Here is a 23,932-nt window from a genome sequence, read left to right as displayed (position 1 = left end):
TTGATTAGGTTCAGCGGCCCATATGGCAGCAAAGCCTCCAGGGCCGGCGAAGTCCGGGTGGTACAAAGGTGACCCGATTGATGGCCGCTTCGCCCACGGCTCCGGCAAAAGTCGGGAGTTTGCAGGAAGCTGGGTCACCTCCCCGCCCCTCAGCAGAGGGTCTTTGGTCCTGAGCGGGTGGTTCTGGGGCCTCTGCTTGGAAATAGAGATGGGCAGGTCGAGGGAGAGAGTGTACAGCGAACAGAGGAGGGTGAAAGGAGAGGAAGCCTGTGGACAGTCTTCAGGGTCGTGGCGGGGGCAGAAGTTTACTGGAATTGGGAACAATCCAAGGGCTTCCTAGGCTTTTGCTTCTTATGACCGAAGCCGGTGTAGGACCTTTTTCCGAACTCAAGAAGCCTAGGGACGCGAGGCCTGGGGCTTGAGCCGGGCCTCTTTGGGAGCTGTAGGTGGCTCTCCAAGGAGTGGAGTGGGGTCGGGGATTTTCTCGGGAAGCAGGGTCCCGCACCCAGGGATGGTAACTGGCTTCCCAGTGGGCAAGAAAAGAGGCCAGCTGAGAAATGTGGCGCTGCCGGGACACCCATGGACTCGGGCTGCTGGGGTTTGGGAGACCATCCAAGCAGCAGCCGGGCGAGAAGCCCAGGGTGGCCCGGCAGCGTCGCGAGGCGCTGGACCTGCGGGGAGAGAAGGAGGAGCGAGGAGAGCGGGAGGGAGACAGGGAAGCAAAGACGATGCTCAAAATGGCGCTGGGGCCGGGCGGCGGGCCGGGGGGGGGGCGAGGGAAGAAGCTGTGGCCGCCATGACAGCCGCTGCAGGAGGCGCCGGCCCAGCCGGGATCTGCCCCCGCCCCTGCGTCCTCCCAGCTGGATTTTCCAGAGGCCAGGGAAGAAGGGGAGCCTGGGGGGTCCCACCTTCGTTTTAGTTAGTTTGATTTTTTTATTTTTAAAGTGGAGCCCAACGGACGCTGAGGACGCGAGATGGAAGGAGAGTCCGGGTGGATGTGGGAAGGGAAGGAGAGCGGCGGGTCTGCGGGCCTGGGTGTGCCTCATCCAGTCTGACTTTTGATTCTTCGCTGTGGGATTTGAAGCCAGGCCAGAGCTTTCTCTGAATGCAGACCCACCAGTCTTGACCAACAACTTCATTTCACGTATCAACACCATGTCCTGTCTATCCCCCACCACACCCTGCCTGGTTCCTTGTAAACCTGGTAAGCGGGAAGCAAGGATCGATCTCCCCCATCTGCCTCCTGGTTTGTTCTGGGAAGGTGGAGGTTTAAAGGTCCCCGGAAAGCCATCCATCCTCCTTAGGTTTCTTTAATATTTCTCCCGCTCAGAAACAGACACTACGGGGCTATCTCCCCGGCAGATGCTGCCCTTCTCAAAAAGCAGTTTATTTCCTGGGCCTCCAGACTTTCCCCTGGACCAACAGGACCGGGATTTAGAGTACCAGTCACCCAGAGGCAGCAATTGTCAGGATAAGCCAGGAGCCAACATAGGTTGTGACACAGAGGACTAGACAGGCCCTTTGCATATTTTAAAATGGGTCCCTCAGTGTGGGAAGTACACACCTCTTAGTTAGCTGGAACTTAATCCCTTAAACTGTCTTAATATAGAATTCATCTCGTGCATTAATCTTACATCATGTTAAATTGCACTTATTTCTCTCATAAATAAATATAGAACAATTAGATGTGTTATAATAATGTCATGTATCTTATTTTCCCTCATAAAATATATAGGTATGAAATAAATTCAATATATTAAAGTAGTAATACACAGCTTATTGGCTTATGTGTTTATTTTCCCCATAAATAAGGGAATATACAATATATTAAAACTACGCTATACATCTCATTGGGCTGTGTGTTTATTTCTCCATAAAATATGCCCACAGGCAGTGTTTAACATCTTAAAAATCACAGCACACAAGCCATCTCTACACTAGCAAAATGAACAGATATTTCAGCTGGGGCTTTGATTTCTATGGACAGTCAAACTAGATAATTTGGTCTAATTAAAAATGCTCTTGCAGCTAGCTATAGCAGGTTGTTACAAAGATCAAGAATATCACAAGGATCTTGCTAATGTCCTACCTTCCAGTTTCTTTGGTCAAAATGAGAGCACCCTTCCTCAATGCCAAAAAAATGCAGAGTTGGCTCTGCAGGAGAGAATTCCTATCCCCCATCATGGTCTGCAGCACTCAAGGGCCTCCGATGCACCAGTTCTCTGCAGCCTGGCTGCTCCATGGACCAGCAGCATCAGCACTACCTATGAGCTACTTAGAAATACAGAATCTTAGGCCCCTGAATCAGACCTACTGAATCAGAATTTGCAGTTTAGCAGCTCCCCAAGTGATTTATGTACACTTAAAAGTTTGAGAAGTACTGCTAGATCACAGTGCCACCTTGCTTTCTGCCTTCCTCCATGCTTCAGAATTTTTGACTCACTTTACCTGGCCCCTGCCTTCCAATTCTCCCAACCCAAACCAGTAGCTCAAATGGCAGGGAATCTTTGTTCCTGCCTGGGCCTGCATCAGTCCTGATTCCTTCCTGCCAAAGTAGTGGTGAGCCAACCAAAGGCTCAATGTACCTGTTTAGATTCAGGTACTTTGGATATCCTAGGGGTGAGAGGTCTTAGTCCAGGTGTTGTCTTTGGCTGATTATTGGAGAGGAGTTGAAACTCTTTTTACAGGAAACACAAAAGCGTTGCTGGCTGTCTTCTTTCCAAATTTATGAAACTCACCGTCTCTGATGATACCACGGCAGCACAAAGAGGCAATGAATTTGCAGAAGGAAGTGACTCCCATCTTCAATTTCCCTACCCAATTCAGATTCAAGGGAATGCCTGGCAATTTGGGATTCATAAAGGATTGCAATTCAGGATCCCTGTGTTCCGAATTAACTTCTTTTCCTTCTTTCATCTCTTGGGTCATCCTTTTTAGCTTGAGTTTTCCCAGTTGGCCATGGAGGAGTAAGGGGAAGAGGGGGTGGTTCCCAGATAGGGCAGCAGACCCCAGTGGTGGTGGCAGATTAGAGGGCAGCTCCAAGTGGCCGCACTCACTTATTCCATCCTGATTGGGGCAGGGTTCCTCTTGGGTCAGGACCAATTGTGAGTGGTCTGTAGCACAGAGTGGTTATAAATTCCCTGTGGTTGGAGTGGGAAGGTTTCAGTGCAGCCCGGAAAGCTGCTCGTCAGTCTGCCCTGCTCTTAGTGAATCATTCTTTTAAGAGGCATGTCCCATTAATATTACAGTGAAAGCAAAGGACCATTAGACTGAGGAATTACTCGCAATCATGGTAACCCTGAGTCATTAAAAAAAAAAAAAGTTAACTTATGCCTGAGCAAGTCTATTCCCCTTTCTGGACCTCAGTTTCTCTATCTGTGAAATAAATGTAAGAATTAAATGCCTCTAATGTACTCTACATTAATATATGCATATTCTTTAGTATATATTATTTAGTCTTCACAAACAATGTATTAACTGTTTATTATGGCCGATGTCTTGTGCTGTTAAGTAACTCTTGGTGTTTGACAGTGACCTACCTCACGTGAATCTGGTGGGGCCATTTTAACAAATTTTCTTTTATTTTTTGAGATAGGGTCTCACTTTGTCACCCAGGCTGGAATGGAGTGGTGCAGTCACAGCTCACCACAGCCTCAACCTCCTGGGCTCAAGTGGTCCTCCCATGTCAGCCATCCGAGTAACTAGGAGTACAGGTGCGAGCCACTAAGTTTGGCTAATTTTTTTTTTTTTTTTTTTTTTTTTTTTTTTACAGAGTCTCGCTCTTGTCGCCCAGGCTGGAGTGCAATGGCGTGATCTCGGCTCACTTCAACCTCTGCCTTCTGGGTTAAAGCAATTCTCCTGCTTCAGCTTCCTGAGTAGCTTGGATTACAGGCGCCCGCCATCATGCCCGGTTAATTTTTGTAGTTTTAGTAGAGACAGGGTTTCGCCATGTTGGCCAGGCTGGCCTCAAACTGCTGACCTCAGGTGATCTGCCCGCCTTGGCCTTCCAAAGTGCTGGGATTACAGGCATGAGCTACCGCAGCTGGCTGGCTATTTATTTATTTATTTATTTATTTTTGAGACGGAGGCTTACTCTGTTGTCCAGGCTGAAGTGCAGTGGCAGGATCTCGGCTCACTTCAACCTCCACCTTCTGGGTTCAAGTGATTCTCCTGTCTCAGCCTCCCAAGTAGCTGGGACCTCAGGTACCTGCCACCACGCCTGGCTAATTTTTATATTTTTAGTAAAGATGAGGTTTCACCATGTTGGCCAGGCTGGCCTCGAACTCCTGACCTCAAGTGATCCGTCCGCCTCGGCCTCCCAAAGTGCTGGGATTACAGGTGTGAGCCACCTCCCCTGGCCTTTTATTTATTTTATTTATTTATTTTTTACGGCTAGTTTTAAAATATTCTGTGGAGATGATATCTCACTGTATTGCCCAGGTTGGTCTTGAACTCCTGAGCTCAAGTGATCCTCCTGCCTCAGCCTCCCAAAGTGCTAGGATTACAGGCGTGAGCCACTGTGCCTGGTCAATACATTTTAATTAGTATCTTTACACCAATAATCATGCATTTATCTTTATTTAAATGAGTAGAGAGCAAAATCTTTTCAACAAGCAGGTAATCGGGTGCAGCATTGTCTGCCAGGTGCCTGGTATTCAATAAATATGAGTATTAAAAAGTATCCTAGCCAAGTTTTCCTTTGACTTTCATCCTCTGCCACCTCCCCCAACATTTGGTTATGTTTACTCTTTTTCTTTTGTTTTTTGTTTGTTTGTTTTTTTAAGTAGGCCATTTCATATAAAAAGAGCCACCAAACTTCTTTTTTGACATGATGTTCTAGACTTTAACAGTCCCTTTTAGTTATGTTTAATCTGGTTGCTGGGGCATCAGAGCATAGGCACAATTTCTGAGACTCCCTAAACAGCACTGCTGAATTCACCTACCCATCTTTACCCAAGTCTCTGACAAGCACTTGCTGGCCCCACTGCAGATCTTCTTGGGATGTACTCTCAGTCCTCACTTTGCAGAAGGTGGCCTGTAGGGCCTCAATTCATCTTCTGCCTGCTGAGGCTGATTATAGCCCAGATCCTCCACTGATCTCTCCAGCCCAGCTCTGCCTACCCCTCTTCTCTCCTCCAGCCATCCCTCTGTCCACATTCAGGGTAAGGTAGATATTTAGTGCCGGAAAGAGATCTTCCTCTTCAGAGGAGAGAATGAATAGTAAAGGAGCCCTCTTAAAACTTTCTCTCTCTCCGGGGCCGGGCGCGGTGGCTCACGCCTGTAATCCCAGCACTTTGGGAGGCTGAGGCGGGCGGATCACGAGGTCAGGAGATCGAGACCATCCTGGCTAACACAGTGAAACCCTGTCTCTACTAAAAATACGAAAAAATTAGCCGGGCGTGGTGACAGGCGCCTGTGGTCCCAGCTATTTGGGAGGCTGAGTCAGGAGAATGGCGTGCACCCAGGAGGCGGAGCTTGCAGTAAGCCGAGATCACGCCACTGCACTCCAGCCTGGGTGACAGAGCAAGACTCCGTCTCAAAAAAAAAAAAAAAACTTTCTCTCTCCCCCAACAACTGCAGAAAAATCACAATCTGTATAGTCATTCAGACCCAAATTCAGCTTGATCACTGTTTGGCTAAGATTTCCAAAGCAGATATTTTGGCCAAAAAAAAACTATTGCATTTAGATAAACTCGATTAAGTAGAAAATTATTTTAATTCTTCATGTCACGCTAACCTTTCCTTTTAGAAAGATCTCAGTCATTATTTAATCATGCCCCCAATTATTGACTCCAGATGGAAGTTTACATCTTGCTGATCTGTCTAGATCCAGAAGTCAGGTCACCTCTAGGATGGACAGTTTCCAAGCGAAATTCCTTAAGGAAGAAGAGACAACATCCTCCCTAGAAAACTTTTCCCCAATGTTTGGAAAATCAAGAAGTTCTTTCTAATATCCAACCACAAACCTTTCTGTTGCAATTTTAATAATTTGGATTCTTTATAGGCATAAAATATTAGGCTTTGGTTTTCAAGAAACCCTTCAGGTTAGAAGAAAATCCTTTGCCTAAACAGAGCCAATCTTCTCAATTCTCAATGAAATTTGCATATGATAAAGTACATATTATATTGTATAATATATGGTGCTATGTTACATGAAAATATAGCCTAAATGCTATTCTCCTCCTATCACACACACACACACACATAGATAGATAGATAGATAGATAGATAGATAGATAGATAGATAGATAAGTTTTTGTTCGTTTTTCGTTTTTTGTTTTTTGAGACAGAATCTCACTGTGTCACCCAGGCTGGAGTTCAATGGCGTGATCTCGGCTCACTGTAGCCTCCACCTCCCAGGTTCAAGCAATTCTCCTGCCTCAGCCTCCTGAGTAACTGAGACCACAGGTGTGTGCCACCACGCCCGGCTAATTTTTGTATTTTTAATAGACACAGGGTTTCACCATGTTGGCCAGACTGGTCTCGAACCCCTGACCTCTGGTGATCTGCCTGCCTCAGCCTCCCATAGTGCTGGGATTACAGGCATGAGTCACCGCACCCAGCCTACTTATTTCCATATTTTAATATGCTAGTTATATTAAAAAGCAGAAGACTGACTCATAGCATTTCAGAATGTGATTTAAAGTTAATATCATACATTTAGAGAGTTCCCTGTGGTTTGTATTTTCTTGTTTGCTTTAATCCTACTAACAAGGCAGCAAGATAAGTAGTATTAAACCCATTCTTTTTCTCCGAGGCTGAGACTAATAGAAATCAAGAAACTTGTCCAGGGCCACAATGCTAAGAAGTGGCCAAGCAAAGGCCAGGCACAGTGACTCCCGCCTGTAATCCCACACTTTGGGAGGCTGAGGCGGGTGAATTGCCCAAGCTTGGGAGTTCGAGACCAGCCTGTGCCACATGGTAAAACCCCATCTCTACCAAAAATACAAAAAATTAGCTGGGTATGTTGGCACACACCTGTGATCCCAGCTACTTGGGAGGTTGAGGTGGGAGGATTGCTTGGGCCTGGGAGGCAGAGGTTGCAGCGGGCCGAGATTGCGCCACTGCACTCCAGCCTGGGTGACAAAGTGAGACCCTGTATTAAAAAAAAAAAAAAAAAATGGCCAAGCAAGGGCTTGAACCCAACTATTCTGGCCCACATAGCTAGCACTAATCCCATTACAATATGTACTACATACAGTCTAAGGTTCTCAACCAGATTTATGACAGTTTAATTAGCTTGCATTAAAAGAAATATCCTTTCTCTAACAGCAACAAAAACAATTCATCTCATAGTGAAAAACTTGTGGTGGTGCATGCTTGTAGTCCTACCTACTCAGGAGGCTGAGGTGGGAGGATCGCTTGAGCCCAGGAGGTCAAAGCTGTAGGGAGCCGTGATTACACCATTGCACTCTAGCCTGGGGCAACAGAGCGAAACCCTGCCTGAAAAAAAAAGAAAGAAAGAAGGAAAAAATTATGAATATTCTTTACTTCCTAAGCCCCAACTTTTTTTTTTTTTTTTTGAGTCTTGCTCTGTCGCCCAGGCTGGAGTGCAATGGTGCGATCTCAGCTCACTGCAACCTCCGCCTCCCGGGTTCAAGCGATTCTCCTGCTTCAGCCTCTTGAGTAGCTGGGATTATAGGTGCCTGCCACCACACCCGGCTAATTTTTGTATTTTTTAGTAGAGATGGGGGTTTCACCATGTTGGTCAGGCTGGTCTTGAACTCCCGACCTCAGGTGATCTGCCCTCCTTGGCCTCCCAAAGTGCTGGGATTACAGGCATGAGCCACCTCACTGGCCTAGCCCCAACCTTTGATCTTGGGTTTGGCCTCCCTAGATTTGGGCTGGGGAGAGCAGATAGAGACATTTAAGGTCTAATGAGAGAATTTAGATTGCTCCTGCCAAGCCCCCAGCTGAAGCAGCTTCCTTCACAGAAAGGACCAGAATCTGAGGTTAAACTTCTAATATATCCCCATTCTGGTTAGATAGTTTCCTTGCCTGCATTCTCAGTGTGATAAGGAGTGAAAACTGTCAAAGATAACTTCAGTTCCAAACATGTCTATGTTCTCCTTGCTCTCTTTTATGTACAAGCAGATCATACAAACTAGGACATCAACTTTATTTCATTTTGGTGTTGGGTCCACCCAGACCCTCTCTGGTGAGTTTAATTTGGTCCACCAAAAATCCTATGGGCCATAGGTTATTCCAGTCAGCGAAGCTTCTTTTAGGGAGGAGGAGGAGATTGGGAACCTAGGGAGCAAAGTTGCTTGGTTCTCCCAGTCTTTTCTGCTGGGGCTGGGAGAGCCAGCAGGAATTTGGGCAAGTTTTAATGTCCCTGCTAACACAAGAGAAGGTGGCATGACTCAGGGATGAATTGGGGAGCATAGTGAATTTGGAAAGCTGAGGCAATCACTGCAATTGACAGTATAACTTGAGGCACTTTTTTTTTTTTTTTAAATAGAGACAGGTTCTCTGTCACCCAGGCTAGAGTGCAGTGGTGTGGTCATAGCTCATTGCAGCCTTGAACTCCTGGGCTCAAGCCATCCTCCCTTCTGAGCAGCTGGGACTTCAGGGAGGCACCACCACACCCAGCTAATTTTTGTATTTATTTATTTTTGTAGAGATGTGGTCTCACCATCTTGCCCAGGCTGGTCTCGAAGTCCTGGGCTCAAGTGATCCTCTTGCCTTGGCCTTCCAAAGTGCTGGGACTGCACCCAGCCAACTTAGGGCACTTTTGCCTCAGTCTTTGCTTGCTGTCATGAATAATAGATTGTTGGTGACTTCAGCTGTTATAAAGGGAATGCATTCCTCAATTCCCAGATTTGTGCTGTTTTATTAAACTGATTTGAAATTCACTTCTTCCTTTAGACCTCAAATTGTTCCCTTAATTATGAAGGCAAAGGATGGGGTGAGAAGATTCTCCCCGGGATGAGGAAAAGGTGGAAGGTGAACAAGTCTCAAGTCTCTCAGAAGCAGGGCTGCCAGATCAGATACAGGCCTTGTTCAAATTTGGGGTTAGAAGACAAGCCCTAGATTCCTCCAGACAAGTTATTCTTAGCGTCTGTGGAAGACATCTTAAAATGAAAGGATGAAGCATCTGCAAATCTTCTCCCCGAAAAAGTAAAATAGAAAGAAATAAGCTTGCTCTTACCTCAATAATTTCTTTCTCTTCAATTCCTCTGCAGGTCACCTCCTCCCATCTCAATTTTCCTTTCTCTTGTCTGCCCTCATTCCCTTGGCAAGTGAACATTCTCTCTCACCCCCATTGCATCTATTAAAGAAGTTACCAGCTTGTGCCCCTCCCCCTCAGCTTGAAGCAGGGTCTGAAGCAGAGTACACATGATCGGGAAAAGGAGGCAGGGGTTCTGTGAAATGCTTTGAGCTCTTTCAGAGTTGGGGGTGATGGCCAGGTGTGGCAGCTCAGGCCTGCAATCCTAGCACTTTGGGAGGCCGAAGCAGGCAGATCGTTGAGGCCAGGGGTTCGAGACCAGCCTGGCCAACATGGTGAAACCCTGTCTCTACTAAAAATACAAAAAAAATTAGCCAGGCCCAGTGGTGCCTGACTGTGGTCCCAGCTACTCAGGAGGCTGAGGTGAGAGGATTGCTTGAACCTGGGAGGCAGAGGTTGCAGTGAGCTGAGATCATGCCACCGCACTCCAATCTGGATGACAGAGTAAGACCCTATCTCAAAAAACAAAAACAAAACAAAACCCTCCCCCTCAAAAAAACAGAGTTGGGCTAGGCCCACAATTATTAGAGAAGAGAAAGGCAGTGTGATGCTGGTGGTATAGAGCAGAAAGCAGGAGAGGCAGCTACGGTAAGGCCAAGCAAAACAAGAGGGAATGGGAGACAAAGATGGAGGGGCAAGACACAGACTGCAGGGGACAACTTTGGGGTCCCTTGCAGAGGAAGGAGTATTCGCCCTGCCCTTTTTGGGGTGTGGAAACCTGAGAAGTTTTGAGGGTCCTCCTTAAACCTGTCCCACCTGCTTCCCTTTCCTCTCCTGAGCTCCGTTGTTTACAGAGATCACTCCCTGAACTCTTGCCCTCCTGGACTTGCCCTAGCTTCGGCCCCAGGCCTCCGGCCAGGCAGACACCCTGACAGGTTACAAATGAGCGTGGGTGTTGGATTGCCCCAAGCTCTTGCCCTCAAGTTGTCCGGAGGAGGAGAGTCAATGGGCTCTACCTAAGGGCTTCTCTTCTAGTCCCATCTGGGTTTGGAGTCTGAGAGAGTGAAGAAGACACATCCTGTGTCCCTCCGCAACAGCCACACAGAACAAAAAGGGGCGAGACTCCACTCCTCACTCTGGAGTCTTAGAATTCAGAGCCTCAGGGCCTCCACCCCGATTCTCCCACTCTCTGACCAAACTCCCTTTATCAATCCTAGAAAAATTACTGAAATCTGGAGGAATCTTTAAGATTTAACTGGTATTAAATTTATGCATTTGAGGTTTGGAAATTTTTTTTTTTTGGAAGGAGATGGAGGGTGGTGAAGGAGAGACAGGTAGGAGGGAACCAGGAGAATGCAGGTCTCCACTAGTTTTAAACACTTCAAGAAGAGAATAAAAAATTCCCCTCCTCTTCACCCCGCTGTAAACATCACCTGGCTGTGCTCATTGTGGCTCTCTAGAGAGATATAGGGAGTTATTTAAGTCTGAGTGAGTGAGCCAGCTACAGCTATGGATGGCTAGAGAGAGGATAAATACATCTAGAGAGATGAGAGGTAGGGAACGAATATAAATATGGAGAAAGATGGACGAACAGAGAGATGGATTGAGACAGAGAGAATATAAAGAGAGGCTGAGGGAGAGAAATGGATGTGTGAATGAGGAGAGAACATTTATGCAAAGAGAGAGAGAGGGAAGATGGGGCATTTCTCATCCTTTTCTCCACATTTCTGTAGTCCTGCCTTGCTCCCTGAAATGCCAATTTCCCACCCCTGGCTTCATGAATTCTTCCTCTAGATTCTAGATCCTGCCCCACACCCTTAGGTGTTTTTGCACCACCTTCCCCCACCTCCCCACCACACAGTCATCCATTTGGCCCAAGATAACATACCTCACCCGGCTGTCCTAGCCCACCACCCTAAGACAAATTGGAAGAAAGGAACATGGTTTGGGAGTTCTGGGCAAAGTATGGAAGCTGGATTCCCCACCTCCAGGTCCACAGACTTAGGGGGAAGGTTTCTCTGAGGGGTGGGAAGAGTGAGGGGCAGCTGGCTTGAATTTGTCCAAATCTAATAACCCAGGAGCCTATTGAAGGCCTTGGGGGTTGGGAGGGAAGGAAAGTCTTGAATATTCTCCTAACTTTTTCCCCCTCTCCCTCTGGTCCCTTCTTTCCAAAAGTCTTTGAAGAAAGATGTTTTTGACGCTTCCATGTCGCTCTCAGATGGATGGGCTGCGGGTGATTGAAGTGTCTTTGTCATGCTAATGCTTGGGGGGTGATGGATGGGCGCTGGGGCTGCCAAACTCTGGCCCGCTTAGCCCATTGGCCTGGGAGAGATCACATGTGCCCCCTCACCCCCACTCCCTACCCCCTTCCTAGGGAAGCGCTTGCCCAGGCGAGCGGGTCAGGCCATGGATTCGAGCCCCAGCGCTGTGACATACTGCCGAAAGGTTGTAGGGCAAGAGGGTGTCTCCCCCAAACGGGCCGACCCTCCTGCGGCCTTGACGCATGGACTATAATAGGATGAACTCCTTCTTAGAGTACCCACTCTGTAACCGGGGACCCAGCGCCTACAGCGCCCACAGCGCCCCAACCTCCTTTCCCCCAAGCTCGGCTCAGGCGGTTGACAGCTATGCAAGCGAGGGCCGCTACGGTGGGGGGCTGTCCAGCCCTGCGTTTCAGCAGAACTCCGGCTATCCCGCCCAGCAGCCGCCTTCGACCCTGGGGGTGCCCTTCCCCAGCTCCGCGCCCTCGGGGTATGCTCCTGCCGCCTGCAGCCCCAGCTACGGGCCTTCTCAGTACTACCCTCTGGGTCAATCAGAAGGAGACGGAGGCTATTTTCATCCCTCGAGCTACGGGGCCCAGCTAGGGGGCTTGTCCGATGGCTACGGAGCAGGTGGAGCCGGTCCGGGGCCATATCCTCCGCAGCATCCCCCTTATGGGAACGAGCAGACCGCGAGCTTTGCACCGGCCTATGCTGATCTCCTCTCCGAGGACAAGGAAACACCCTGCCCTTCAGAACCTAACACCCCCACGGCCCGGACCTTCGACTGGATGAAGGTTAAGAGAAACCCACCCAAGACAGGTAGGGCTCAGATGTGGCCACCCCTTCTCCGGGGCCCAAAGCATCTCTGCTTCCCCTGCAGTGACATGTCCTGGGTCTGGGCTGGGTTCTTCTCTTTCAGCGGCTCTGGTAGACACAGGTAAGAGCACAACCTACGTCTCAGGTCAGGTGAGGTCTCCCCACCCAGTATGTAACCGGTCACCCCAGGAGTAAGTTTCCATACACACCCCACTTCCTGATCTGTGCACCCAGCACAGACCCAGGACCTGGTGTGCATGGGGGATGGAAGTATGGGGAAGGCTGCTCCAGACTTGGTGATCACCATGGGGGTACCTGGTGGTCCCTGGGAACTTTGACAACTGTACTTGGGCAGAATGGCAAATGGAGGTCCAGAGCCAGCCCCGGGAGGAGGGAAGCGGAAGGAGAAAGAGGTGAGAGAATTGACCTGGCCTTTCTCCCTGCCCCGCCCCTAGCGAAGGTGTCAGAGCCAGGCCTGGGCTCGCCCAGTGGCCTCCGCACCAACTTCACCACAAGGCAGCTGACAGAACTGGAAAAGGAGTTCCATTTCAACAAGTACCTGAGCCGGGCCCGGAGGGTGGAGATTGCCGCCACCCTGGAGCTCAATGAAACACAGGTCAAGATTTGGTTCCAGAACCGACGAATGAAGCAGAAGAAGCGCGAGCGAGAGGAAGGTCGGGTCCCCCCAGCCCCACCAGGCTGCCCCAAGGAGGCAGCTGGAGATGCCTCAGACCAGTCGACATGCACCTCCCCGGAAGCCTCACCCAGCTCTGTCACCTCCTGAACTGAACCTAGCCACCAATGGGGCTTCCAGGCACTGGAGCGCCCCAGTCCAGCCCTATCCCAGGCTCTCCCCAACCCCAGGCCTGGGCTTCACTGGCCTGGGGATCCTCTCTAGGGCTGAAATGCCAGTTTAGAGCTGCCTGGGGGTGGGAGGGGGGATGGGGAAACATTTTTCTCAGACCTGGGTGGCTGGGGGCCCTACAGGACCAGAGGCCTGGGAGGCATGGAACCTGTCAAATGTAGAGGGAAGGGCTTCTGCCTTTGATCTGGGGATCAGCTCAGTGTCAACATGTGGTGGGGGTGGGGGCCAGCCTCATCCTCCTGGATTCATCCTCCTTTCCCTTCCAACTTGGGTTTATTCGGTTCAGTGCCTTCGAGCTTTGAGGAGTCTCCTCACGCACTCTTATCCTAACTCCCCCTTCTAGGCCTGACACAGAACCTTAAATTTTCTTGTGTGGGAGGTGTTTGGGTGCAGCCATATTATTATCAATGCTTAATCCAGTCACCACAGACCTTACAATAGCACCAGCTGCCTTGTGACAGACCAAAAAGCCCCCCGCCCCCATCTAACCCCATTAGCCCTCTCCTGGCATATTTATATTGCACTAATGCAGCCTTCAGAGGTTGTTTTCTGAGACCTGCCTCCTCACACCAGCGACCTCATCACTATGTCACCAAAGTGTTTTGGAACTTGGTATTCCAGAGACTTCTGGAACGCCGTGCAAGGCCTGCCCCCAGCAAGCCACAACCAGGAAGGTGCAGGCACGCCCCCACTAGCTCCTCCCCTATTTATTGCCTCCTGGAAAACCCAGGACCCTCTTCCCCATCTCCACCCCTACCCCTGGGGGCAGCCCAGGGAGAGCCAGGCACAATGAGGGCTCCCAACAGCTGCAAGGATTTATCTGAACCTTTGAGAAAGAGGAGGAGCCATCTAAGTTTCTGGAAACCTGAGCCCCAAGTGAGCCCGGGTTCTCTCTGTACCTGCAACTACCTCATTTCAATAAAGTCTGTGTTTTCCCTTCTTCCTGCCTGCTTCTGTTTCTCCATTCAGGGGTAGAAGAGGCCTCATACTCCGTGCACCGTGGAGAAGAGGTGAAGAAAGAGTGGCCATTGGCTGGTTGGGCTGGAATGAACTGAGCTTTAAGATCTCAGCTGGATAAAGAGAAGGACTTACTGGGTGTGGCCTAAGCAGGATTGGGTCCCAGGCATTCAGGCTTGACAGTTGTCAGTCCCTTGGTTATTGGGAGAATCCAGAAAAGCATGGAAGAAGTCTGTGGAATGAATGCAATTCCCAGAGATTTTTCTTTTTCTTTTCTTTTTTTCTTTCTTTCTTGCTTTCTTTCTTTCTTTTTCTTTTTCTTTTTTTTTTTTTTTTTTTTTTTTTGAGACAGGGTCTGGCTCTGTCGCTCAGGCTGGAGTGCAGTTTTTTGGTTTGTGTTTTGTTTTTTGGTTTTGTGTTTTGGTTTTTGTTTGTTTGTTTGTTTGAGACAGGGTCTCGCTCTGTTGCTCAGGCTGGAGTACAGTGGCATAATCTCCGTTCACTGCAACCTCTGCCTCTCAGGTTCAAGCGATTCTCCACCTCAGTCTCCAGAGTAGCTGGGACCACAGGCGCACACCACCACTCCCGGCTGATTTTTGTATTTTTGTAGAGACAGGGTTTTGCCATTTCGCCCAGGATGGTCTCCAACTCCCGGGCTCAAGTGATCTGCCCGCCTCCGCTTTCCAAAGTGCTGGGATTACAGGCGTGAGCCCCCGCGCCGGGTCAGCCCAGAGGGTCTTGAGAGGAAGACGGGAAAGAAGAGAAACATCTGTTTGGAGAGGACAAAAAGAGGGTGTTAAAAAGAGGAGGAAGTGTGGGGGAAGGCGACGTGAACTCTACCCCTTCCCTTCCCCCTCACCTGCCTCCCTCCCGCCCAGAGCCAGGCCTGGCTTAGACTCCAGAGGGGTCGCTGACAAACTCCAAATTGGCACACAGCTTAACACCCCCACTCCCACCCCAGCCCAGCGCCCTTCCACCCAGCCACTCCTCGGGGACGTCAGGAGTGGCTGCCTGAGTCCGGCCGCAGCCGGCCAGCCTCCGCAAGGCCTTTCCGCCTGGGCTCAAGGTGAAAGCCCTGGGTCTCCGGGCACTGGACGGCAGGAAGGAGGTGGCCGCGAAGGGGCCTAGTGGGGGGCAGTGTGCCGGGCGGGGGAGGGGAGACCGAGGTCTGGAGAGGGAGGAAGACGTCAGGGGCGGGGGGAGTCCGAGGATGGTCGGGGGCCTGACGGCGGGCGGAGGAGGCCGAGGTAACCTGGGATCCCGGGCTGACCTTTTTACCTCGAAGCGCCTCTGGGCTTTCCAAACAAGCCGACAGCGCGCCCGCGGGGGCAGCTATTGTCTCCGGGCCGGTCCCACTGGCAAACCTTTGGTCGGCGGAGGCGGGGGGCCGGGGCTCAGGAAGCTCCGCGGCGGGCAACAAACCTCGATCGCTCTCTGGCCCCGCCGAGCCGTCGAGATGCCGCGGGCCTCGGGGATCGGGCCCTGGTTTATTGATTCCGGTTACCCCGGGAGCCCAGATGCCCAGGGGCCAGGATGGAGGCGGGCCAGACCAAGGCGGGGTGTCTTCTCCACACCCTCTGATCTATTTAATTCTTGGTCTTTCGAGGGAGGCAGCCAAAAGGACTAGAAGCGTACGTGAGAAACGCTGAGCATTTGATTCCTAATGAAATTGGTGCCATTATATGAGAGGCAACGTTATCAATAATTGTATAGCCCAGCTGGAGAGGAAGAGAAGTCTGTTGCAATAAGCAGCCTAGCTTTCTCAGAGGCTGATGTCTTGCCCTTTGTCAAAACAAAAAAAAAAGGAAAGAAAGAAAAAGAAAAAATTCTATTAACTGCTTTTCTGCATTTAATTGAAATTGCCACCAAGCTTGATTCCCCAAAGAGGTCACCTTGACAGAAGGGAGAGAGTGAGTGTCGGTGGAAACAAAACTCCCCTTCCTTGGAGACATTCAGTGTGAGCCAGTGGAGCCTTCTGGGTTGGGGTATTTGTGGATCCTCCAAATTTTGGACAAGTGGGCAAGAAAGCAGGGAGGAGGAGGAAGGTGCGGTGGTGAGAGCAAAGCAGAACCATGAGTATGGTGGAGCAGGGCCTCAGAGGGGCCGACAAGTCCTTGGGGAGGATTGATGAAAGGGCCAGGAGGAAAGAAGAAGGCTGCTGGCCCATTTGATTTTTGATCATAGCAGAGGGAGCCACCAGATTCCCCCAGGGAAGGGTGAGGGACAAATCAATTCTCTGTTCACACAGGGGCAGGCTCAAAATAATATCCAGTGAATGTAAGCCTTCCATCTCCTTAGATGCAGAGATCCTGACCCCTTCCTCTCTCCTACTTGCACTCTCCTACTTGAATTCCACTTCCAATCTGAGGCCCTAGACAGGCCTACATGGGAGACATTAGGACAAAGGAGAGAATGGTAAACTAACAAAAACATTTTGCCCCCATTGAGATAAATTGATAGTCTTCATTGTTTTTTGTTTTGTTTTGTTTTGTTTTTTTGAGACAGGGTATCCCTCTGTCGCCCAGGCTGGAGTGCAGTGGCCTGATCTCAGCTTGCTGCAGCTTCGACCTCTTGGGCTCAAGTGATCCTCCCACCTCAGCCTCCCAAGTAGCTGGGACTACAGGCGCATGCCACCATGCCTGGCTAATTTTTGTATCTTTTTGTTGTAGAGATGGGGTTTCACCATGTTGCCTAGGCTGGTCTTGAACTCCTGAGCTCAAGCAATCTGCCCGCCTTGGCCTCCTAAAGTGCTGGGAGCCTCCGTGCCCAGCCCTTCATTGTTAAACTTTCCAGAATAGATGCCAAATTGCTTCACTCATAGACTTCTTCATGTCTTTCAGATTGCTGTTTTTTTCATAGCTCTGGGAAGGAGGGTATTATATTTACTAGGAGGTCTGAAAGTAATTTTTTTTTTTTTTTTTTTGCAAAATTTGAAAGCTGTCCACCCACACCTCCATTTCCCAAATGTCAAAAAATATCTCCAGTTTGAAAACAAAAAGCTTGAGTTTTTTGAGTCTTGACTGTCTTTTTTAAAAATTTAATTTAAGAGATGGGGTCTCGCTGTGTTGTTCAGGCTGCTCTTGAACTCCTGGGTTTAAGGGATCTTCCCACCTTGGCCTTCCAAAGTATTAATACTGGAATTACAGACATGAGCCACCATGCCTGCCTAGTCTTCATTCTTCACAGGAGGGAGAATTCTCTAGGCTGGTTGAAAGTTTGTCAAGATTTCTGAGGAGCCCCCCACTCCCCACAAACCCGGGCATCAGGTAGGGAGCCAGTCAAGTCTTCACTCCACCCAATCCTCTGCACCATCTGTTTCTCAGCCAGAGTGTGAACTTTTCCTCTTTCCTTTGCCTTTTCCCTCAGCGTTTGTTCTCCCATTGTGAGGCCCTTTGATCTCCTGAACAAGAGAGAAAGAAAAAGATTTTGAAGACCCTGAAGCTCTTCTTCTTCTTTTTTTTTTACGGAGTTTCGCTCTTGTTGCCCAGGCTAGTGTACAATGGTGCGATCTCGGCTCACCGCAACCTCTGCCTCCCAGGTTCAAGCAATTCTCCTGCCTCAGCCTTCCTGAGTAGCTGGGATTACAGGAATGCGCCATCATGCCCGGCTAATTTTTGTATTTTTAGTAGAGACGGGGTTTCTCCATGTTGGTCAGGCTGGTCTTGAACTCCCGACCTCAGGTGATCCACCCGCCTCAGCCTCCCAAAGTGCTGGGATTACAGGCGTGAGCCACCATGCCTGGCCAGCCCTGAAGCTCTTCTAACTGTTAATGCAAGTTTCTTTTTTTTCTTTTCCTTTTTCTTTTTTTTTGAGATGGAGTTTGCCTCTTATGGCCCAGGCTATGTGATCTCGGCTCACTGCAACCTCCACCTCCCAGGTTCAAGTGATTCTCCTGCCTCAGCCTCCCAAGTAGGAGTAGCTGGGATTACAGGCATGGGCCATCCCGCCCGGCTAATTTTGTATTTTTAGTAGAGATGGGGTTTCTCCATGTTGGTCAGGCTGGTCTCGAACTCCTGACCTCAGGTGATCTGCCGGCCTCAGCCTCCCAAAGTGCTGGGATTACAGGCGTGAGCCAACACGCCTGCCCGGCCAATGCAGGTTTCTTTGTTGTGAGCATTCCTTGTGCAGATAGCACCGGGCTCCTGGGAAGGAGTTGGTGGGATGATGTTTAGAAGAGAGTGTGGATGGCAGGCTTGGAGGAATCTCTCCAGATGACAGACAAGGGAGATCAAAATGAGCCAGAGAGCAGCACCAAGGAGTTGGGGGACATGTCTAGGATATCTGGGTTCAAATCCAAGCCCTGCCTCTCACTAGCCCTGTGGCCTTGGGCAAGTTGCCTAATTCCCTGTGCCCAGTTTCATTATCTACAAAATAGGGATAACGACAGTACCTATTTCATGGGGTTGATGTTGGGATTAAATGAGTTAATATGTGTAAAATGCTTGGAATGGTCCCACATAAACAAAGTGAGCAATAACAAATTATTATCATTATTAAAAGGGACTGTGATCTTCCCTTCTATAGTCCCCAATCTCTTCCAGGGAGTATCTTGACTATGCCCACTTCTCACACTCATAGCTTATTTGATCCCTGATAGGTGTATGGAGCTAGAGACAAATGGAAGGGATTGCCCTCTTAGCAGCTGAGAACACTGAAGGTTCATTTGGCTGAGAAACCTTTTTGTTCTGTTCTCAGCGTACCCACCTGTCGAAGAGGAAAGTTATCCTGGCCTCTCACACTCATTCCCTCTCTTCTCCATTATAGAAGATGGATAAGAAGTCTGGAAGGCAGAAACTTCAATTCCCTGACTTAGGGTGGTGGAGAGCAAGGGTTCTGGAGTATAACTTAGTGTTCAGAATGGTCCCCTTTTATTAGCTGGATGAGCTCATGTGAGTTGTTTAGTTTCCCTGTGCTTCAGTTTCTTCAGATATACAATGAAGGATATTGAATAATACATGATATATATGAGAGATGCTTAGAACACTGCCTGGTGTATGGTGAGTGTTGAGCAGAGGCTTCCTATTTTACATAGTTACATAGGACATTTTCCTATTACTTTCTTACATTGAGTTATTCTTGGTCTTGGCATGATGAAAGCAGATGTTGTCCAGCCTTGGCCCCCCTGCGCTGTACCAGCAGACCCAGCCAGCACCATAAGCATGGGACTTGCTGCTAGACAGTAAAATAATTATGAATGAAAGGTTTCAGAGGAGTCCACAGAATACAGGCTTTACAGGCTTACAGTTAAGTACAGTATTATAATGAGGGATGTCCTTGACAAGACAGACTCATTGCGTAACTCGGGAGGGTATTCTCGTTGTAGTCCACGAAATTGGCGCCCCCTGCAGTTGTACCAGATTTTTTCCCCTGTGCCTCAGTCCTGGCTCTGAATTCCTTGCATGACTCAACCAGAGTATTCCAGAGGCTTCAGCTTTTGCTATTTCTGTGGCTCTCAAAATGCTTCCTATAATCAGAGTGTATCCTGGGTGGGACAAAAGTTGGAGATGTAAAATACTTAATGTCCATTCCTGGGAGAACATGGAGGCTCAAGTAGCTGCAGGATTCAGCTCCAAGGCTGACCTCCTGGCCCTCATCCACTGTTATTCTCTTCATCAGAAAAGAAATGGATCAGATGCTTCAGAGAAGAAATAATTTTGTAGGAAGTCAGGAGACCTAAGTTTAGTCTACTAAGACCCTTCCTTGTGTCCTTGGGTAAGTCACTTAACCTCTCTGGGCCTATTTTCCCAGTCTTTAATATAAGTTAAATTATCCCACTGCAGCTGGACTCATTCTTTCCTTTGAGGGTAGATGAAGACTTAGGTAAGAAAGAGTGTAAACTTGGTGGGAGATGGAAATAGTTGGGTGGAGAAGCATCCTGTTGGATGTATTTTACTGGCCTAGTTAGAGCTAATTAAAATCACCCCTTTCCTTCATCCTCTCCAGATCACTGGCCTGAGTCCAGAGAATTCTGAGCCCTGCAGCCCTTTCTGCCTGGAGGGGAACCGAGCAGGGAGGGAGCTGCACCAAACATGCGCCCTCTGCTCCTTAGAGGCCTGATGCTCCCTTCAGTTTACTCTGGCTTGACAGCTCCATTTCAACCCCCACCTTGGAGATGAGGCAGCTCAATATTTACTCAGCCAGAGAGGTTTGTCCAGAAGCCTGCCTCCCCAGCCTCCTCCTGTTGGCTCTGCTCTGTTGCCCCCACCCCCTTCCTTCCCGGTTCATAGAGAGTTCAGCCCTGCAATGGCTTGCAGCCCCCTCCACTCCCCAGCCCTGACAGAGCCGCCTGTCGGGGGACTGCTGAGGCCAGAAGAGCGGGGGAAGGGCACCAGTCAGTCGTGGGGTCATGTCCTGGTCTCTCCACCCTTACTGGACCAGCAGCCTAGGCCTCTAGAAGAAGAGAAGACTCAGCAAATGATTGTCTTTTGGGGGAAGAGTGCGTGGAGATTGGCTAAAATGGAACTGTGGGGTTGGGGACATGATCCAGGACTGTAAAAGCTTCACATAGCTGTGTGCAATATTATAAACCATGGTTTATGGTAGAGAAACTTGGTAAATTTGTAACAGTCTGAACTCTTTCCAAAGACACGAAAAGAGCTAATACAATAAATAAGTGACACTTGGGTTTTCAGCAACACATCTGAAAACTGATCTCTTATCTCCTAACATTCTAGAATGTAAGATCCATGAAGACAGGACTTTTTTTTTTTTTTTTCCTTAGAGACAAAGTCTCGCTATGTTGTCCAGGCTAGACTTGAACTCCTGGGCTCAAGCCATCCTCTGGCCTTAGCCTGCTGAGTAGCTGGGACTGTACAGGTGTATGCCTACTGCACCCGGCTAAGCAGGGATTTTTGTTTGTTTTGTTCCTTGTTCCATTTCCAGTGCCTATAACAATGCCTGGAACATAGTAGATGCTCAGTAAATATCTGTTAAATAAACGAATATTGAAGCAAAATTCTTCTGCCTAGAAGACAAGCACCCCAAAAATGGTGTTCTGAAATGATGTTAGGCTGGGCACAGTGGCTCACGCCTGTAATCCCAGCACTTTGGGAGGCCAAGGCGGGCAAATTGCCTGAGGTCAGGAGTTCGAGACCAGTCTAGCCAACATGGTAAAACCCACTCTCTACTAAAAATACAAAAAAAAAAAAAAAAAATTAGCCGGGCATGGTGGCATGCGCCTGTAATCCCAGCTACTCAAGAGGCTGAGGCAGAGGAGTTGCTTGAACCAGCAAGGTGGAGGTTGCAGTGAGCCGAGATCACGCCACTGCACTCCAGCCTGGGCGACAGAGTGAGACTCTGTCTCAAAAAAAAAAAAAAAAAAAAGAAAGAAATGAAGAAACGATGTTAGCTTTAGATGTTTGATTAGTCTAATAGTGCTATCATAATGAATATGTTAATATGAAGATATTTCAGACAGGGTTAGAGATGGATGAGGACTTGGGAGGCATTTTCTTTCTCCCTCCCTTCTGTTAGAGGAATTTATCTCAGGCAAATGACAAAGCATTCACTGGATAGCTTTAGGGCGAGTCTGATCTAAGGGTTCTCCCACAGAGTTTTTGTTTGTTCTTTTGTTTTGTTTGGCTTCCTTTACTTTAGCAAGTGTAAACCCAAGAAAAGACTCAACTTTGGAAATGTAAAGGATTTGAAGGACCAGCTGGATGTTTCTATTGGCAGAAAATGGACAGAGAAGACCTCCTGCAGGGACACCCAAGAGAAGTGAGCCTGTCTCAACCCTTCCTTTCCATCTTCCCACTTCCCACAGAAGCTAGTGTCAGATTCCCTTCTCCACCACTATACCAGGGTTTGGTTTCATCTTTTCCAAAAACATCTGGGTTGTCTTCCCCCTTCTAAGGTGAGTAAGGTGAATTCACACAGGGCTATGGGTTTAGATTTTTTGGGATCAGAAAGGGGACAACATTACTGGAACTCAAGGGCAAGGATGGCCACCTGTTGGAAGCTTCACAGAGCCCTTGGGAAGATCAGTCTGGCATGGTCGGTTACCATCAGTGGAAATTGTTGAGAATTGATGACATCTTCTTGCTTCCTTCTTCCGCACATGGATCTACACACATGCATCCTGATGCCACAGAAACAGGACCTGGAACCTGACTTGAGTCAGGCAGAGGGAAGGAGAAAACTGGCAAGGAAAAGGAAAAGGAGAAAAAAGAGGGTCACCTGCCTGGGCATGGTGGTTCACGCCTGTAATCCCAACACTTTGGGAGGTCGAGGCAGATGGACCACCTGAGGTCGGGAGTTCAAGACCAGCCTGACCAACATGGAGAAACCCTGCCTCTAATAAAAATACAAAATCAGCCAGATGTGGTGGCGCATGCCTGTAATCCCAGCTACTCGGGAGGCTGAGGCAGGAGAATCACTTGAACGTGGGAGGCGGAGGTTGTGGTGAGCCAAGATTGAGCCTGGGCAACAAGAGCGAAACTCCGTCTCAAAAAAAAAAAAAAGAAAAAAAAGATCACCTGCCTGTTCCACCCTGGGGTTAGATTTCTACATTAGGACCCCCCTCCTAGGGAGAATGAAGCTAGGAGAGAGAATTCCTCACTTGAAGGAAAATGAAGGTTCAAGAGTCCAGGGCAAGGATCTAATAATTTTGGCCAGAGTTCTCTGATTCCTCATTTCAGACCAGCTCAAAGCTTCTGCCAGGAGCTGTCACTTTTCAAGCTGGAAAGTCTGAAGAGGCAAAATGTGTACAACAAGCTGTGCAGGGGGATGCCTTTGAGGTGTATCTTCCTGGAAGCACAGCAGGAAGATAGATGGCAGGAAGAGCTACCTCATGTTCTTCTCAGGCCCAGAACTTCCTCTCTTCCGTCACCTCCAGTTACTCCACTATCTCTCCTATTCACACTCAGTCTTCTTCCAAAACTCAATTTTTTTTTTTTTGAGACAGAGACCTGCTCTCCTAGGCTGGAGTGCAGTGACGCGATATCAGCTCAGTGCAACCTCCAACCTCCTGGATTCAAGTGATTCTCTGCCTCAGCCTCCTGAGTAGCTGGGATTACAGGCGCCTGCCACCACAGCCAACTAATTTTTGTATTTTTAGTAGAGATGGGGTTTCGCCATCTTGGCCAGGCTGGTCTTGAACTCCTGGCCTTGTGATCCACCTGCCTCGGCCTTCCAACATGCTGGGATTACAGGTGTGAGCCACCACGCCTGGCTTTTTTTTTGTTTGTTTGTTTTTGAGACAGTCTTGCTCTGTTTCCCAGGCTGGAGTGCAGTGGCACCATCTCAGCTCAATGCAACCTCTGCCTCCTGGGTTCAAGTGATTCTCATGCCTCAACCTCCTGAGTAGCTGGGACCACGGGTGTGAGCCATCATACCTGGCAAATTTTTGTAATTTTTTAGTAGAGACAGGGTTTCACCATGATGTCCAGGCTAGTCTTGAGCTCCTGGCCTCAAGTGATCCACCTGCCTCAGCCTCCCAAAGTGCTGGGATTATAGGCATGAGCCACTGTGCCCAGCCCCAAAACTCAATTTTCAATCCCCACACTTGAGTAGGGCAGGAGAGACGCTGGACTAGAAAGAGTCTGAGCAAAGCAGGAAGGCGTCCCTGGAGGATAGGTGGGCTGGGATGGGGCAAGGCCTGAATCCAGCATGGGGTCTCCATTCAGAACACTCAAATCCAGTAATCTGGATGTTGGAAATGGGAATTACAAAAAATGACTTTGAAAGACTCTGAGTGCTTGCAGGTTCCCACCCACAGTTCGCACGTTTTACACCCATTGAAAACCCATTGAAATCCACACCTGGACACATTGCTGCAGACTTGCTGGCCTCCCTTACACATTTGCAGACCTATCTGTAAGCAAGCATTGTTGCCAGGCATGGTGGCTGATGCTTGTAATCCCAGTA

General features: G+C 49.0%; 1 protein-coding gene and 1 long non-coding RNA gene across 2 annotated transcripts, besides 7 other annotated features; both read left to right on the top strand.

Moving 5' to 3' along the window:
* Positions 5,356 to 5,650: an enhancer, noted in NCBI's record as "tiled region #4554; HepG2 Activating non-DNase unmatched - State 22:ReprW, and K562 Activating DNase matched - State 5:Enh". NCBI's record gives its function as "activates a minimal TATA promoter and a strong SV40 promoter by Sharpr-MPRA in HepG2 cells, with weak activation in K562 cells {active_cell/tissue: HepG2 | K562}" and the evidence as "EXISTENCE:reporter gene assay evidence [ECO:0000049][PMID:27701403]".
* Positions 11,096 to 11,676: an enhancer, noted in NCBI's record as "OCT4-NANOG-H3K27ac-H3K4me1 hESC enhancer chr17:46608263-46608843 (GRCh37/hg19 assembly coordinates)". NCBI's record gives its function as "activates a minimal SCP1, AML or CMV promoter by ChIP-STARR-seq in primed H9 embryonic stem cells {active_cell/tissue: H9 hESC(primed)}" and the evidence as "EXISTENCE:reporter gene assay evidence [ECO:0000049][PMID:30033119]".
* On the top strand, positions 11,566 to 14,051 carry HOXB1 (homeobox B1). Its single transcript, NM_002144.4, has 2 exons — positions 11,566 to 12,249; positions 12,702 to 14,051. The coding sequence occupies exons 1-2, from the start codon at positions 11,673 to 11,675 to the stop codon at positions 13,028 to 13,030; spliced, it is 906 nt and encodes a 301-aa protein (NP_002135.2). The 5' UTR covers positions 11,566 to 11,672; the 3' UTR covers positions 13,031 to 14,051.
* Positions 15,070 to 22,189, top strand: LOC105371808 (uncharacterized). The gene is made up of 4 exons (XR_934811.2): positions 15,070 to 15,134; positions 19,685 to 19,780; positions 20,012 to 20,213; positions 21,665 to 22,189. It is a non-coding gene; the product is annotated as an uncharacterized LOC105371808 (long non-coding RNA).
* Positions 19,786 to 20,308: an enhancer, noted in NCBI's record as "H3K27ac-H3K4me1 hESC enhancer chr17:46599631-46600153 (GRCh37/hg19 assembly coordinates)". NCBI's record gives its function as "activates a minimal SCP1, AML or CMV promoter by ChIP-STARR-seq in primed H9 embryonic stem cells {active_cell/tissue: H9 hESC(primed)}" and the evidence as "EXISTENCE:reporter gene assay evidence [ECO:0000049][PMID:30033119]".
* Positions 19,786 to 20,450: a biological region, named in NCBI's record as "Sharpr-MPRA regulatory region 4378".
* Positions 20,156 to 20,450: an enhancer, noted in NCBI's record as "tiled region #4378; K562 Activating DNase matched - State 5:Enh". NCBI's record gives its function as "activates a minimal TATA promoter and a strong SV40 promoter by Sharpr-MPRA in K562 cells {active_cell/tissue: K562}" and the evidence as "EXISTENCE:reporter gene assay evidence [ECO:0000049][PMID:27701403]".
* Positions 21,275 to 21,964: an enhancer, noted in NCBI's record as "OCT4-NANOG-H3K27ac hESC enhancer chr17:46597975-46598664 (GRCh37/hg19 assembly coordinates)". NCBI's record gives its function as "activates a minimal SCP1, AML or CMV promoter by ChIP-STARR-seq in naive H9 embryonic stem cells {active_cell/tissue: H9 hESC(naive)}" and the evidence as "EXISTENCE:reporter gene assay evidence [ECO:0000049][PMID:30033119]".
* Positions 21,965 to 22,656: an enhancer, noted in NCBI's record as "NANOG-H3K27ac hESC enhancer chr17:46597283-46597974 (GRCh37/hg19 assembly coordinates)". NCBI's record gives its function as "activates a minimal SCP1, AML or CMV promoter by ChIP-STARR-seq in naive H9 embryonic stem cells {active_cell/tissue: H9 hESC(naive)}" and the evidence as "EXISTENCE:reporter gene assay evidence [ECO:0000049][PMID:30033119]".

The sequence above is a fragment of the Homo sapiens genome, chromosome 17, assembly GCF_000001405.40.
Source record: "Homo sapiens chromosome 17, GRCh38.p14 Primary Assembly".
Lineage (NCBI taxonomy): Eukaryota > Metazoa > Chordata > Mammalia > Primates > Hominidae > Homo > Homo sapiens.
This window is presented reverse-complemented; position numbering and strand designations above follow the sequence as displayed.